Source organism: Homo sapiens, chromosome 6, assembly GCF_000001405.40.
Source record: "Homo sapiens chromosome 6, GRCh38.p14 Primary Assembly".
Taxonomy (NCBI): Eukaryota; Metazoa; Chordata; class Mammalia; order Primates; family Hominidae; genus Homo; species Homo sapiens.
Window position 1 is genome coordinate 130,734,969 of NC_000006.12, and position 18,319 is coordinate 130,753,287.

The 18,319-nt window shown below is 38.5% G+C and overlaps 1 long non-coding RNA gene across 1 annotated transcript in view; it reads right to left on the reverse strand.

Moving 5' to 3' along the window:
- Positions 1-6,387: 6,387 nt before the first annotated feature.
- Positions 6,388-18,319, reverse strand: part of LOC105378003 (uncharacterized) — a 29,316-nt gene continuing 17,384 nt past the window's right edge. Inside the window, exons 2-3 of the long non-coding RNA XR_942991.2 lie at positions 17,623-17,715; positions 6,388-6,536 (exon numbers count right to left, since the gene is read on the reverse strand). This is a non-coding gene — a long non-coding RNA (uncharacterized LOC105378003). The remainder of the gene's footprint in view (positions 6,537-17,622; positions 17,716-18,319) is intronic.

Here is an 18,319-nt window from a genome sequence, read left to right on the forward strand (position 1 = left end):
ATATCATTCAACGCATTTCTTACGTTTATGTCAAATGATGAACGGTTAATATGATATAGAAAGATGAATGTAAATGATATTTATCAACTGGGGATTTTTTGTTTGTTTGTTTGTTTGTTTGTTTTTGGTTTTGTTTTGTGTTTTAAGACGGAGTCTCGCTCTGTCGCCCAGGCTGGAGTGTAGTGGCACAATCTTGGCTCACTACGACCTCCGCCTCCCAGGTTCAAGCAATTCTCCTGTCTCAGCCTCCCAAGTAGCTTGGATTACAGGCACCCGCCACCACACCCAGCTAATTTTTGTATTTTTAGTAGAGACAGGGTTTTACTATGTTGGCCAGGCTGGTCTCAAACTCCTGACCTAAAGTGATCCTGTCACCTTGGCCTCCCAAAGTGCTGGGATTACAGGCCTAAGCCACCACACCTGGCCAGGAGATTTATAAATAGAGTTATCCAACTCCCAAAAGTGTTGTCAACCCAAATGATTTTCAGTTGGTAAAATTTTAAACTCTGTGATGTGTGGATGCAATAGGAAGAAGGAGGGAGTAACTGATGGTGGAAAAGAGACAGTTACCTAAATTTTACCGTCAGGCTATACTCTCCTTCTGTCTATAAAGAACCAGGGAGTATAAGAGGGAAAAGTGTTCGCAAATCAATTTCCTCTCCCAAAGGGGAGTTAAGAGTTGCATCAAATTCCCTTTTAGCCACCATGCATTTTATTACTGTAACCCAGCAGATAGCCCTAGACTCTGTGATAGGGAGTAAAGTGGCCTAGATAGGTGGTGCAGAGGAAATGAATTCCTTGTACAATAGGAATGGAATCATTCTCGTCTTTGTGTCCATAACAGGACCAAGCACAGCATCTTGTGTAAAATCAATTATTGATGAATTGATTTTCTACTGGAGGAACTCTCAAAAGCATACTCAGCTATAGGACAGTCCTCCTTGACTCCCACAATGCAGCCTACAATAACCCTCAGTGCAATGCTTTTATAGCCCAATGAAATGGGACAACTATCTTTACACAAGGACAGGTACCATTCTGCCTTATGGTATACTAGGTTCTGCCCTGGGCCACCTACCAAGAGCCTGGAGCAGAAGCATCATCCCTAATCAAAAAGCATACAAGACCACAGCACCTGGGTCTCTTGGTTATGGCCCAGAGCAAGTTTGGCATCTTCTCAGGTCCCTTTTCCATTTATTCGGCAGCCCCCACATTTACCTGGGTTGACCCTGTAAAAGAAGGCTAGTTAGAGTCATTTCCATAAGCAGATTTCTACTGCCATGGAAGTTACTTGCAGCTCAGTAGTAATTATGAGCCAATACACTTTGTTGTAAGTTATATCTGATTACAATACTAAATCCCTTTACATTGTCTGAGTCTCATAATGTACTGGTTATCTATTACAATTTTTTGTTGTTTCAAGGACATACTGATTTGAGTTCAATTAGGGATGTTGGTAGTATCTCCTTTTTTAAGAGAACTATCTACAGTGCACCAGTAATGATATTTCAAAGGTAGAAAATGTCATAAAAGAAGTGCTTTCTTAAGAACAAGAAAAAAGAAAAGGTGTGCCATTTAAGAACAACGGTTATGTTTATGTTTAATTTTTTGTGTTAGAACTTGACATCATCCATCAACAAACTAACACATCTGAAAAATTTAAACAAAGAGGCTAAGAAAGAGTAATTGTGATACTCCCTAATACAGCTACTTTTATATCTTTAGACAATTTCATTTTAGATCACATTTATGTGTGTCTTCATTTACTTGTAAGCTGCCAGATTACACTAAAGCAGCAATTAGCTATTCAAAAACAGAATTTTGTATCATGTTAAGCATGATAAAATACTGACCTTTGTGTTCCTTTTTATAATGACCTTGTCATTCTAAAATGACTTAACAAAAAACGTCTCTATCAGTCTAAGTAAAATTTCACATTTTAGTGTTATTTTGGTAATGCTGGAGAGGAAAGGTATTCTTAAAATATGATAAATATTCTGATTGTGAACTTTTTTTTTTTTGAGACAGGGTCTCTGTCGCACAGGCTGGAGTGCAGTGGTACAGTCTCGGCTCACCGCAACGTCTGCCTCTTGGGCTCAAGCAATTCTCCTGCCTCAGCCTCCAGAGTAGCTGGGACTACAGACATGTGCCATCATGCCCAGCTAATTTTTGTATTTTTAGTAGAGACAGAGTTTTGCCATGTTGGCCAGGCTGGTCTCAAATTCCTGACTTGAAGTGGTCCACCCACCTCAGCCTCCTATAGTGCTGGGATTACAGGCGTGAGCCATTGCACCTGGCCCTGATTGTGAACTTTTGATTTGTGAGTCTGAACTTTTAATCAGATGGAGTCATGTGAGTGACAAACCATTAAATTCAAAGGGAGTAACTAGTGGGTTGAGGGAGAAATTTCTGACACTTCAACAACCTTGAGTAATAGCGATCCCCAAGTGATTGCAACAGAGCCCTCAAATCATCAGGTCCTGGTTATGAAGTTTCTGGATCCTTTTTCCTTTGCAGCAGCTTGAAAAATGCAAACATTTTGTATTAGTCCATTTTTACACTGCTATAAAGATACTACCTGTGACTGGGTAATTTATAAACAAAGAGGCTTTATTGACTCACAGTTCAGCATGGCTGGGGAAGCCTCAGGAAACTTACAGTCATGGCGGAAGGCAAAGGGGAAGCAGGCACCTTCTTCATAAGGTGGCAGGAAGGAGAGAAAAAGAGCAAAGGGAAAGTGCCACACTTTAAAACCATCAGCTCTTGTGAGAACTCACTCATTATGATGAGAACAGCCTGAGAGAAACCGCCCCCATAATCCAATCACCTCCCACCAGGACCCTTTCTCAAAATGTGGGGATTACAATTCGAGATGAGATTTTGTGGGAACGCAGAGCCAAACTATATCACATTTCAAACTTGAGAACCTGAACTCTGAACTTGCCATCTAAAATAACTGAAATGGAAAGATCATTTTTCAAACCACTTACTGTAAAATTCAAGAAGCTCGAAGCATCTGCTTTGCAGTAGGGTTTAGTTTTAAAGTGAAATACTGTCTCTCTTAACAGTTTGCTTTTGTAAAGGGGGATAAAAATCCTCAAATTATAATATATATTAAGGCTTTACAATCAAAAGAGAAAGATTTTAAAATCTACTACTGCTAGGAATAAATAAAATCTTTCAAATACTTTTCAAAATAACCCCTCCCCTTCAAAACCCTCTAACCACCTATATTACAATTCAAACTCAAAATAGTTCAGGGGGAAATTTTGCTTGAGATGGATGACATAGCAAATATAGAAAGAATAAGGCTAGGTAAACTATGTCCATGTACAAACTATAACAACCAACTAACAGCTATTGAGTGCCTATGAACAAAACACAGTACTATTCACAATAGCCAAGCTATCAAGATAGGGAATCAACTTGTGTCCATCAACAGATGAATAAATAAAACAAATTCTCTCTCTCATATATATATATTCAATATATGCATATCAATATATACAGATGAATATATATTCAATATTTATAGAGATATATATTTATAAATATATATTTAATATTTATAGATATAAATATTGAATATATGTGATATATATTGAATCGATATATGTGTGTGTGTATATATATATATTTATTTATTTATCTCATATGAGATGGAATACTATTCAGCCTTAAGTAAGAAGGAAATTCTGTCACAGTGACAACATGGATAAACCTAGAGGACATTGTTAAGTGAAATAAGCCAGGCACAGAAAGACGAATACCACATGATCTCATTTATATGTAGAGTGTAAAAAGGTTGAACTCAAATTAACAGACAGTATAATGGTGGTTACCATGGACTGGGATGGGTGTGAAGAGGAAGAAAGGATTAGGGAGATATTGGCCAAATGATACAATGTTTTAGTTAGATAGGAGAAATAAGATCAAGAGATTTTTTCAATACAAAATGGATGCACATGTTTTTGGTGTATGTGATAATTTAATACATTCATATAATTTGCAAATATCAATTCAGTGTAATTGGGATATCCATTATCTTACATATTTGTCTTTGTTTTATGCTGGAAACATTCAAATTATCCTCTTCTATCTATTTTGAAATATGCAATAAACTGTGGTAAACTATATTCACCTACTCATCTATCAAAAATTAGGTCTTATTTCTTCTATCCAATTATTGTATATTTGTACCCATTAATCAACCTCTCTTTATCTTCCCATTATCCTTCCCAGCCTCTGGAAGCAGCAATCTACCCTCTATCTTCACGAGATCCACTGTTTTAGCTCCCACACGAGTGAGAACATGCAATATTTGTCTTTCTGTGCTTGGCTTATTTCACTTAAAATAATGACCTCTAGGTCCATCCATGTTGCTGCAAATGACAGGATTTTATTCTTCCTATGCCTGAATAATATTCCATTGTGTATATATATCACACTTTATTCATTCATCCATTGATGAGCACTTAGGTTGATTTCAATATTTTGACTATCATGAATAGTGCTGCAATAAACAAAGCCGCTTTCTGCTAATTCCAACATCTGGGCCATCTGTTGGTCTATTTCCATTGACTAATTTTTCTCAACTATAGGTCACATTTTTCTATTTTTCAAATGTGTGGCGTTTTATATTGCATACCTGACATTGTAAATAATATATTACAGAGAATATAAATTTCATTATCTTCCTCTGAAGGGTGTTCAATTTTGTTCTAACAGACAATCGTATTACTGAATGAATACCTTGAGCCTGGGAAATCTTGGTTTTAGTCCTTCTTAGAGTAGGTCTATTTTAATTTTGTCCTTAGTCCCTGGGCAAATCTCTCAATCTAGAGAGAAGGTCTTTTTTCTCCTCTAGGGCCCTTTTAATAGCTTCATTGAAATAAAATTTATGAATCATAAAATTTATGCATTGTAAGTATATAATTCAGTAATTTTTGATACATTTATAGAGTTGTGTAACCATAATCACAATCCAGAATTTTTAATTTAGAATTTAGAATTTTCCTTTTTTTGTTTTTGTTTTTTGAAACAGGGTCTCTCTCTATCACCCAGGCTGGAGTGCAGTGGTGCAATCATGGATCACTGCCGCCTCGAACTCCTGGATTCAAGCCATCCTCCTATCTCAGCATCCTGAGTACCTGAGACTACAGGCACTCACCACCACACCTGGCTAATTTTTGTATTTTTTCATAGAGACCCTTCTTGCTATGTTACCCAGGCTAATCTCAAACTCCTGGGCTCAAGCGATCCTTCTGCCTCAGCCTCCCAGAGTGCTGCAATTACAGGAGTGAGCCCAGTTTTTTGTTGCTTCTGGCAAACTCAATATAACATAAAATTTGCCATCTGACCCATCTTTAAGTGTACAGTTCAGTGACATTAAATACATTCACATTGTTGTGCAACCCTCACCACCATTCATCTCCAGAACTTTTTTACATCTTACAAAACTGAAACTCTGTATCTGCTAAACAACTCCCCTTTCCTGCTCCTTCAAGCTCCTGACAACCACCATGCTACTTTCTGTCTTCATGAATTTGACTACTCTAGGTACTTCATATAAGTGAATCATACAATATTTGTCCATTTGTGACTGGCTCATTTCACATAATGTCCTCCAAGATTCATTCATGTTGTAGCATGCATCAGAATTTCCTCCTTTTTTGAAGGCTAAAAATATTTCACTGTGTGTATATACCACATTGTTTATCCAAAATCTGGTTTTAGAACATTTCCATCACCCCATAAAGTTCCCTTTTTTTCCTGTTTATAATTGATTGCCACTCCCCCCCGCCAACCCTAGGCAACCACTGATCTGCTTTCTGCCTCCAAGTTTGCTTCATCTAACGATTCACATAAATGGAATCATACAGTAGGTAGTCTTTTACATCTTGCTTCTCTCACTTACCATGATGTTTAAGAGTTTGGAGAGGAGGTCTTCACTTCTAAGACATGGCCCTGCTGGAATTTTAATGGAATCCTGAGACATTTACAAAACCAAAAGTGGGTCTTGATCTCCAAACTCTGTCTCCCCTATGGTGGGTGGCTGCTGAAATTTATCCACAGGTCTTTCAACTTTCCAGCTATACTTTTTCTTCTGAGTTCCTTGGAATCTCATGCTACACAAGTAAACTGAAAAGTTAACCATGAAGTGGGGATAGTTAATAGAAAGATTTGGGGGCTCCCAGTCTTTCTGAAAGACTTCCTCCTTTCTGAGATTTATCCTCTCAATTTCCAGCTATTCTGGTGCTCAGGCTAATAAGATTAAGGCTGTCTCCTGGAGATGATCCTCCATGCCCTGGATGGGAGCATGCCTCCAGAGGAAAAGCTGAATAATATGAGTCTTACTTACTGTGGTTGCTTCTTCTAAATGTTGAATGCCTTCCCGATTCTACCTCCTTTTGATCACTCTCCAATTATTTTAAACATTTGCTTTCTACGTTTTGTCCAGAATATACCACTGTAGTTGGTAGGAGGGTAAGTCCCAAAGAAGGTACTGCACCACCACCAGAAGACTTTATGGCAAGCTGTTTTTCCATTAGTGGGAAGAATAGAATTTAAAAAGAGATTCAGGACTGCGTAATTAGGATATCATCACTTCTGAAATGGCGAAAACTTTAGCTATAATTTCTTTAAGAAAATGAATATTACAATTAAGTTTACAAGAATAGTACTTAACTACCTGTGGGGAAAAGTTCTATAGGCTTCTGGTCATTTTGCATTTTTCTTTGTTTTAAAACACTTAATTCTTTGTGATAGATATTTCTAAGCATTTAACTGCCATTGGATAAATAGATACTAATGAGAACAGCTAACATTGGTTGAGCACTTATTATGTGCAAATACTGTTATAAAAGCTTTGATGTATTAACTCTTAATATTTCCAAAAGAGAGTTCACCCAGCTAGTAGCAGCTTTAGGGATCCCAGATCCCAGGGATCTGCGCGTAGCACCTGTCCATTTAGCCATTTCGCTATCGGGAATATCTCACCAGGATGAGAACTTGAGGACAGGTTGTTCACTCTTGACATCTGCTAGTTGACCCAGTCCTGAAATGGGCTAGGCATGCCCACCTTTCATGTTTCTGGATAGATCTAGACAAGATTGGGTGACCTGAATTCCTTGAGAGGACAAATGAATCCGTTTCTGATGGAGCTACTTTATGAGCACACTAATGGATCCGTTGGTTTTCTGTGTATGAAGGAAGAAGAAGCTGGAACACTTGTTAAGCTTCACAACTGAGATGTTCCAGGATTCTGCTGCCTTCTCTTTGGTCTTCTGGGAGGAACCATTTTTCACATGCGTCGTCCTTAACCGCTCAAGCAGCAACTGAAGCAGCTTTTCTAATTATTCCTGCCGAACATAACCAATTGACCCCTGACAGTTGTCAGTTAGGCAGAACCTGTGCCCCTAATGAGAAGGCACAGCTAAATGCTGCTCTGATTATCCACTGGAAGCATTTTCATTAGATGCTAAACAGCCGTCTAATTTAGTTGTGACAGAAGAGGGAAAAAATGAATGGAATGTCTTGATGGGTCAGAATAATGCCAACTTGCAGACCTAAACATTCCCCCGGCAAAATAAGATCTTACTGGAAATAGATATGTCAATATATTAACAGAGGTTACTTCTGGGTGGTTGCTCTATAGAACATTTTTATTTTCTTGTTTGTGCTTTTCTGTACTTTCTGTATTCTAAAAAAAAATACAAATTACTTTTGGATTATGATTTTTTTTTAAGATGAGGTATAGGGTAGATATATCCCTTGCTGTCCTCCTTTCAGTATACAGATGATGCTCAGAGTCTTCCCTCAGAAAGCCTTAAACCATCCCTAAAATCTAAATAATCCCTAAAATAAAAGTGTAAACTGACCCAGAATTGTAAATTTCTTCTAAAACGTGTCTAGCTTCTTAGTTTCTTATAAATATCGAGAACAGGATATATAATTTTCCATTTAAGCCCAGCGCATGATAGATATATAATAAACATCTCTTGAATAAATGCATGAAAGAATAAGTGAATGAGTGGATGAAAGAAGAAATAATATATTTAATCAGGAGTTTTTCAATTACAAGTTTCTGAAAATCTAACATAAAGGCAACATTATCAGTTACTATACCTATTAGGATAAAGGTCAAGCTGGACTCAGGTGTATTTTCCTTATGTTATAGCTGTCTATGAATTGGCTTCAAATCCTCTCTGGCTTCTTTACAGGCTTGTCACACAGATGTAACTCTAGACAGTTCTGGGGTTACATTCTTAGAGCTTTCAATGCAAAGTAAGAGAAGAGCTTTGCTTCACTCCCAATCTAGGAATCCCAGTAAGTCTTTACCTGAACTAGCATGAGTCATAAGCCCACCCCGGTAGCTAACTTGGGAGGGCACTGTGACTCTGAGAGTCCCTCCAAACCCATGGAGCTGGAAAGAATCCCTTAGAGGATAAAAGTGGAAGTGCAGTTACCAGAAGTAAGCGGGGAGGCAGTTTGGGCAGAGAAAACTAACAAATCCTCTAGAGAGAAACATTGTGAACAAAAATTATAACACTTATCACAACTGCAATTATTATATGCAGGTCCCATATAAGCCCTTCACACCCATTTTCTCAAAGCCATTCCACAATCCTCAGGCACTAAGGATCTGGGACATTAAGTGAGTGAACTGAGGCCAGAATAAATGCCGGACAATGAAGAGCTTAATGTTATCTAATAGTAGAGGTTAATAGAATCTAATGAAAATGTTTTCAGCTTCTTCATGTCTGCTGATAACATGCTTGCTTTCTTTTTCAAAAAAAGAAAAAAAAACACATCTCTGAGCAAAATTTAGTGCTATGTTGCTGACATACATTTGAATTTGCAATTGTATGCCTTCCCTGTGACTCTGGCAACAAAACATTCTAGCTTTTCATGTATTGACAATAGAGTATATGACTTACATTTTTTAAAAATGTGTTTGTATATGGCCATCGGAAGGTAGTGCACTGCAGGCTGGGCACAGTGGCTCATGCCTGTAATCCCAGCACTTTGGGAGGCCGAGGCTGGCAGATCCCTCGAGCCTAGGAGTTCGAGACCAGCCTGGCCAACATGGTGAAACCCAGTCTCTACAAAAAATACAAAAAATTAGCCAGACGTGGTGGTGCACACCTGTAATCGCAGCTACTCGGGAGGCCGAGGTGGGAGGATCACTTGAACCTGGGAGGCGGAGGTTGCAGTGAGCTGAGATCATGTCACTGGACTCCAGCCTGGTGACCAAGTGAGACCCTGTCTCAAAAAACAAGGTAATTGCACAGCAGTGGTCCAGAGAACAGGATCTAGGGCTAGATCTGGGTTTAAATCCAGGCTTCTAATGCTTGCTTATTACCTGTGTGACCATGGAGAGATTACCTAACTCTACAGGACCTTGATCTCCTCATATGTAGAATGGGGATGAGAATCAGATTCTCTTAATGGACTTCTGTGTGGATTACAATGCTTATTCCATTAAAGGGTTTAGAGTCAATAGAGGCTCTTAATTTTCTTACTGATCCCTTTGCATCCCTAGGAGCTTTTTGAGATCTTCTCACAGTACTTGTTTGGTTTTGTTTTTGTTTTTATCCCAGATCCACATCAAAGTGGAAATATAGTTATTGTTCTCATTATAGAGGATGCATTCATCCCTCAATTCACAGCTGCCTTGAGATATTGGGGAAATCATTTCACGGGTCTTGGTTTCTGAAGAATTGAGTGTCCTTACAAATATCAACTAATTGACTCTTTTGTATTCCACAGTGTTGCACTCTCCAGCTGAGACTGATGCTCAGTGAAAGCAAGATGAAAAGATTCCTTGTGGCAAGGACACTGTAAGTCTCAGCAGCTGAGCCAGGGCTTTCACCGCATCAAAGAAATGAGATGGCCATTAGATAACTTGTTCTGTTATGTCAAAAACCCCAAACCCAGAGTAAAATAAAATAAAATACAGGCTTAAACCTACAACAAATTTCAAAGCTGGCAGATTGAACTTAAACTTTGCATAGTTCAAGTTAATCATGTGACAATATTGATGTCTAAATAATAAAACTGATTATTTATTTGTCTGGATTTGCTTTTCAGTTACTTATTAAGAAGATAAAGGTCAGCACTTTCTTCTGCCTTGCCTTCCTAGGTTAGCTGAGAGTCCTCTGAGAGCAGAGATTCAGAAGAGGAAATGAACAGATGTAATGAACCAATTCATATTTTTCCTGTGTGCTGGCAGCTTTTTCAGGTTCTCAATTTTTAATAATAAAGAGCATATGCAGTTAACAACATCAAGATGTGCCTAGAAATCAGAGACAGTGGTGATAAAGTTGAAAACACTCCCATCAGAGAGCAAATAACTTGCTCCAACATTTATTTAGGTATAAGGTTTATTTGTCCACTGGTCTTATGTTTAATGGGTTGATTTCCTTATGATCCAAATATTTGAAACATGATCATCTTTACTACCTATTTTATCACTCTATGAAATTGCGCTTTATTGGCTTTCAAGAAAAGAGACTAGTACTGATATGAAAGGGACCACCCACGGATGCAACAGCCATGAAAAAGATATATTTGCATTTTGAAAAAGAAAATATTTAAATTCCCTTGTTTTGAATCCTTTCTCCCCTGGAGATGAATATTCATGCTTGATAAATATTCACTCAAGGCCTTTTTGACATTTGACCTGTGTGAAGTTTGTAAAAACACAACCTGGAAGTTAAAAATCTCTTCCATGACTGAAAAGTCTTTGCTGATGGTTCTCAAAATATCCACAAATACACTTTTAAAACTTTTTACTCTTTTCACATTTTTTTTTCTTTTTTTGCTCTTTAACTTGACCTGGTTACCCACTTTGTCCCATGCCTGACACATGGAGTTTGTTCAAATCCCAAATGCTCCTGGTGCTAAACTGCAGGCCTAGATGGAGGTGAAATGAAGAAAACTTCCAGTGTTGGTGAAGTTTACATTCTAAGACTGGATTAGCTTAGATTTTTATTTTTAGTATTTAGTTTTAAGATATGCAGTCTCGCTCTCTCACCCAGGCTGGAGTGCAGTGGCACAATTACAATTCACTGCAGCCTCGAACTCTTGGTCTCAAATGATCCTTCCATATCAATCCCCTAAGTAGCTGGGACTACAAGCATGCATTATTGTGACAGGCTTTGTGTGTGTGTGTGTATGGGGTCACTGTTGTCCAGGCTGGTCTTGAACTCCTGGCCTTAAGCAATCCTCTCACTTCATCCTCCCAAAGCGCTGGGATTACAGGCATGAGCCACAACTGGATGAGAGCTTAGTTTTTTGGTTGGTTGGTTGGTTGGTTGTTTGAGACAGAGTCTTGCTCTGTCACCTAGGCTGGAATGCCGTGGTGCGATCTTGGCTCTCTACAACCTCCATCTCCTGAGTTCAAACGATTCTCCTGCCTCAGCCTCCGGAGTAGCTGGGATTACAGGCAACTGACACCACATCCAGCTAATTTTTGTGTTTCTAGTAGAGATAGGTTTTCACCATGTTGGCTAGGCTGGTCTTGAACTCCTGAACCCAAATGATCCACCCACCTCAGCCTCCCAAAGTGCTGGGATTACAGGCATGAGCCACCACACCCAGCCAAGAGCTTAGTTTTTAAAGAAACTACACTGCTTACAATAGTAGTCAAGATAATTTTCTGGGAGGGGTCAGTATAATTTAGCATTCATAACCATAACCTATAACTATGTAAAAATATTCCAATGATAACATTTTAGATTTAAAAAGTTTTAAATAGCCAGGCATGGTGGCTCATGCCGGAAATGCTAGTACTTTGAGAAACCAAAATGGAAGAATCACTTGAGATCAGGAGTTTGAGACCAGCCTGGGCAACATAAAGCAAGACCTGCATTTCTCCAAAAAAAAATAAAAATAAATCAGCCAGGCTTGGTGCATGCATCTGTAGTCCTAGCTGCTCAGGAGGCTGAGGTGGAAGCATCACTGGAGCCCAGGAGTTTGAGGTTGCAGTGAGTTGTGATTGCATTATTGCACTCTAGTCTGAGCAACAGAACTTAGGCTTTAAGACCTGTCTTAAAGAACCGTATTCTTTTAAGTTGTAAGTTTAGGTGTTGAATCATGTTTGAATTTTTATACATTTAAAACTGTTTTTTTTTTTTTTTTTTACTGTACTATTTCTTTCAAACATTAAAACTCATGACTTAGGCTTCTGATGGGCTAAAAATATATCCTAACTAATGTTTAGCCATGAATTCCACCACATCAGCTTATATGAATAGTGCCTCTTCACCCCAAATCCAAGCACGGGAAATTTGCAATTCCCTCAAAGGATTGTAAATGAGCCCAGTGTCAAGCTGCCAAAGTAAATTAACAAGATTAAATTTTGTGATACTATCTATCAGAAATTTAAATGACTAGTAATTAAAAGAGTCCTTGCTCTCTTGTGACACATGCAGCGTGACGAAAGAGTCCTAATATGTTACCTCTCTGCTTCTGCCTGTTTTATTATATCTGACTGGGCACCAGGTGGCTTATTCTGTAGGGTGTCTTATAGTTCATGAAATTCTAAAAGTGAAACAGAAATACAACACAATAAATATTTTATGGTATGGGTGAATATATGCTCCTCAAAGGTCTCCTGCACCCTTGAGTTTTATCACAGCATTTTCTATAATCAGATAACTTGTTATGATTATAGAACATATTTTTAATACACATGAGGAAGTGACTCCCCATAATTCATCACCCTGAGATAATCACTATTAATCATGGGTGTGTGTGTGTGTGTGTGTGTGTGTGTGTGTATTTAGGTCCAGACGTTTTGCTATTTATTCTGAAATAATTGTAACCATATGACATAAAACAAAAAATTGCATAAATTGATTTTAAAACATCTTTTTCTGATTATAAAAGTAATATAGTGACATTATTGAACATTTGGAAAATAAAGAAGATGAAAATAATTGAGGGTCCCACCCAGAGATAATCACTATTTAATATTTTCATAATTTTAAATATGACCTTTTTTCTTTGCATATTTTATATATTTAGAAGTACACAATAGGTAATAATTTTTTGGCATAATGAGCAGAGAAATAGTGTAAAACTTTGGTGGAAGATGCTGTGCAGAGAGGCTAGTAGCAGGTAATATATTCACTTATTTATCTTTTTTCCTTAGAAAAAAGTAAATTATTCAGGTCATTAAAAATGAATTCTAAGGAAATAGAAAATGTTTGCAGATTACTTGGCAATAAGAATGGTTTCCACTATTTTTCCAGGAAACTCTGTTATGTGTATTGAGGGGTGAGGAGACAGAGCTTGGAGAAAAGAAACTTCTGGTTTTGTTGCTTTTCCTAAGTTCAGTGTCGTAACTGCATTTAGCTACTGTTAGCAAGAACTGGAACCCAGCCTCATCAAGTAATGTTTTAAACAATCATCAGATATAGTGAGGGATTCCCCCTGAACTCTGGGGTGAAGGATGGCACTCAAGAAACACATTTTCTGGAACTGTTGTGGGAAACGCAGAAGCAGAAGAGAAACAGTTGAGAGAGCCCAATTCTATGAAGGTTTGTCCCAGACTATTCAATATTCAATGACACCACCTATGCAATTTTATTTCTACATTTGGAATTCAAACTAAGTAATTTAAGTTCAAGAGCCTCTTTATAAAGTTGGACTATTGCTGAATTTTTTTTTAACGTAATTCATCTTGGCTGGAGTAATCCTTTAAGTAATTTTTCCAAGAAAGGTACACATGTAGGCTCTCTGGGCATTTTCATACCTGAGGACGACTTTGCAGACATTCTCAGTTCATGATCTTTTTGTTGTAAATTCTGTAGACATTGCTCCACAGCTTTTTGCTAATTGGTATTGCTGGAGAAATATCTTAAGTCAGTAATTTTTGTATTTCTGTAAACAATGAATTATTTCTGCTTGATCTCATAGGTTTTTTTCCCCTTTATTTTTCTGTCTTCATCCATTAACTGTCATTGGATTCTGATATTGAAACTAAAGAACTGAATTGACAAAGGATTCTTTGGGGTGCCACTTTGCCAGCCAGAAATTTCCATGGTCGGCAGTGCTCCTTCCAGAGCTTCACTCGGCTCCAGGCTCACCGCTGGACTTGCTCTGCCCACTCAGCCTGGCAGGTTGCTCTTGGCTCCTGCTACCAGCCCAGATCTCACACCCACCAAGGGCAAGCCAGGTGCTCTGGCTGCTGCAGCATGACGGGCAGCTACAGGTCCCATAACAGGTGCCAGCTCCATGCGAGACTGTGGCTGGACCAAGCATACTGCAAGCAGCTTCCAGCCTGGGCACCAGCATCTGGATGAGGGGAATACGGTGGCATCTGAAAATCTCAGAGATGCCAGCAACCACAGAGATGCAAAGGGGGTGTTATGCATGTCACAGCTCTGGCTCAGGGAGTCCCAAGTTCTGGGCCCCAGAAGGGTTGCAGCTTGTTCATGTCACAGTTCATTCTTTCCCACCATCCACACACTTCAGCAAACAGGGGCATGTCCCAGCTCCTTCGGTCTCACTGCCCCATCTCGGCCCACAGCTCCTGGGCAGGCCCAGTCCCACTGCCACTTCCCATCATGTGGGGTACACACCCCCTGCTGGCAGTGGACAGGAGTACTACAGGGTTACAGCTCCTTTCACACCCACTGTTCAGCAGTCCCAGGTTCTTGTCCCGTGTCCAAGAAGAATGAGGTTACATGGATGACTGAAGAGTGAGTGAGGCAGAGAAGAGTTTTATTGAACAACAGAATAACTCTCAGCAGAGAATGGACCCAATGTGGGTAGCCCCTACCCAAGGCAGGTAGTGCCAATGTGTGGCTGAGTCCAGGGTTTTTATGGGCTCAGAATAGGGGAGTGTGTTTGACTGGTCCCTGGGTGAGCCTAGAAAAAGCACCATTTGATTGGCTAAAAGGCATCAAGGAAGTTCTTACTCCAGTCAGAGGCTTTACCCGGAACTGGCAGCTTGATTTTCAGGCTTTAGTTTGTCTTTAGTTTGAAGGTTGGGTTTCACTGGGGATCAGCCTCTGTTTCCCTCTTGCTGCTATCACCTTTAAATCCTAAGGTGATCATTTGGTATTTATATGCAACAAGAATACTACCCAATGGCATGTGATGCACCTGTGCTCTCATGACTAGGCATGACACCCTCACCAGCCCTCAGCTAAATGGGTTCGATATGCTGTTTCAAAGACAAGTATTGCCATTCCAGTGGTGTCTGGCCATAGTGGGTTTTCTGAGCCACAGGAAGACCAAAGTTTAATTATTTTTCTAGAAAATGATGACAACCTTGGAGTGCTCTTTTTGACTGCAATGCTTCACCTCTTGATTGATGGAATTTATGCCAAGATTGAGAAGAATATTTTGCCATGAAATCCTAGCCAATCAGGGAGGGAAGAACATCTGACTTGGAATCTAACACCCTCTAAAATGAACTCCTGAATGTTACAAAGAAAAGCAACAGCTGAATGTATGTGGGAAAGGTTGGGGATCACATAAAATTTGGTTTAATTATACAGCAATGGTTGAAATTTTTCCTCAGGATGTAGCACTCTCCTTTAATTGATTTAGCTTAGATCTCAGTAAACTCCTTTAAGGAATTTTATCAATTTCAAAAATATCTTTAATTTTGTGCCTTCACTCATTTTTCTTTTGAGACAGGGTCTTATTCTGCCACCCAGGCTGGAGTGCAGTGGCACAATCATGGTTCACTGCAACTTTGATCTCCTGGGCTCAAGTGATCCTCTCACCTCAGCCCTTGAGTAGCTGGGACTACAGGCATGCAACACCACACCAGGCTCATTTATATATATATATATTTTTTTGTAGATACAGGATCTCTGCCCTATATTGCCCAGGCTGGTCTCAAACTCCCAGGCTCAAGCGATCTGCCTGCCTTGGCCTCCCTAAGTGCTGGGATTAAAAGTGTGAACCACCGCACCTGCCTATTTACTGTTCTTAATACACTTACTTTCTTGTTTCTTTCTCAGAAACACAAATATAATCCTTACAAAACACCTTGTCTCTATGTTCCAAATGACTATTATCCTCTAATGTTCAAAAACCTGTTTTTCCCTTTCTTTTGCAATCTGGGAGATCTTCTTAAGTTTGTTCTCCATATCACTGATTCACTTTTCTTCTGAGCTATGCTTTTTACTGACAAAAAGGTAAATTTTAGTTCTATTTTAATTTTATTTTCTTGACATTCTTTACCACCCCAGCCAATTTTAAATGAAAATTCTTTTTTCATTTCATTCTAATTTTCCCTTAATCCCAGCTGGTTTTCTATGTCTGTTGGCTTCTCTTCCATATAGGCAGTGTATTTTTGCAATCTATTGAGGATACCAAACAATTCTGAAAATGTTTGGCTCATGCACTATATATTTTTTTAAGTTTACTCTTACTGTGAATCTTAAGGATAACAGTCCTAGGCAAGTTTTAAAATTTATCCTTGAAACAAGCAATCCATGTTGTGGACAAAGTCAACATGTACACCTTCCACCCAAATGTCTGGACCTTGGCATGCTCATCTTGTTCCAGGGTGACTCTGCAGTGCTGAGATGGGATATTTTACCCTGGCTCTAATTCCTTTCAACCTGATAATCTGAACAAATGAGATACAACAAAAAAGTATATAGTTGTAATAGTAGAGAAAAATATAGTAATTCCTCAATATCCTTGAGGGATTTGTTACAGAACCCCTCACAGATAGCAAAATTCTCAGATGCTCAAGTTCCTGATATAAAATGGCCATAGTATTTGTGTATAACCTATGTATATCCTCCCATATACTTTCAATCTCTCTGGATTACATATAATACCTAGTGCAAAGTAAATACTATGTAAATAGTAGTTTTGTATTATTTAGGGAAAAATGACAAGGAGAAAAATCTGCACATTTCACTACAGACACAAATGTCCTTTTTTTAAAAAAAAATCAATTCGCAGTTGGTTGAATTCATAGATGCAAAACCCATGGACACAAAGGCTGACTGTGCTTACACCAAGCTTTTTGTTTCTGTCAGAATCTACAAAATAGTGGGAAATCCCCCCTCCCTCGTGTCAACTCATCTCCTCCTACTTTTACCCTAGTGCATTAAGGAGGTGTAATTTCTGAATGGATGCAGAACAGAGGGTGGGGGTCACAGGCGTGGCAGCCTCCTTCATTAGAGGTTACCATCTAGACATCAAGGAAGTATTGCTCACTTCAGAATTAATGGATCAATAAAAGTACTGAAACTCTTTTCCTATCCATTCAGGTGTCTTTTCTAGTAGTCCTTCTAATACTAAAAATTGAATATTTACAGCATTAAACACAGATAAATACCATAAATGAAATCCGATTTATAGTTGTCACTTTGGCTACTGAGTCTCTGAGTGGTCTTATTTTTTCTGTGTTGCATCTTTTGGGTGATAATACAGTGTAAAGACAATCTGTAACAATTACTCAATGATGTGAAACAAGATTCATTGCTAATATGTTCATGTTGCATTTCTAGACATTGTGCAATGGCATAATTCTTCACTTGCTAAGGCCACAACTTGATGCTCAAGGTCACAGTGTAAAATACTTTAACTTCATGGAAATTACAGTTTGTAAAGGATGTTAAGCAAGAAAAATCTTACCCATGTTTCACAGGGATTATAAGCACTGCTGGTAATTCTTAATGTGTCGTAGAACCAGTATTTGAATCCAACGCTGCAGGGAATCTCGGAAAGCTGAAGACAAAAAGATAACACTTTAAGTGTAGATTTCTTACTGCTTCTGTTGATGCTTATATTGAGTGTGATGTGGTTACAGTTTAATTGTAATGACTGTGACTCTAACTATAATAATTGATCAACTGTAGTGTTTGTTCAAGCCAGTTTTCAATTCTCTTCCTGAAAAATTCATCTTTTAAAGTTTCTACATTGATTTTTAGCTTCTCAAAGAATTTTTAAAAAATATTCCTTTCAGCTATTTGAAGTACATTAAAAATATATTTTCCATACTTTTAGAAAAGACCTAAGCCATTCTGAGTTCAGAGAAGAACACATGTTTACATTAGAAGTTAAGGAAAACTGATCTGCATTAACCTTGGGAGTAGTCAATGTACTTAAGTGGAATCCATAACAGTAGCTTATCCTTTTGTGTATTTTCAATCATGAATGCATGGTTTTACCATTGGTTTACAAATCTAGGTTTGCATGTGTCTTCAACCTGTTGTGCCAATTAATGGAAGGAATGTGGACAAAAAGAAAATAAATAATAATCTCCCACTGTCCCATCCCTGCTGTCATACTCAAGGGCTGTGCCTATTCTTGTTCCCCTACTATCTGCATG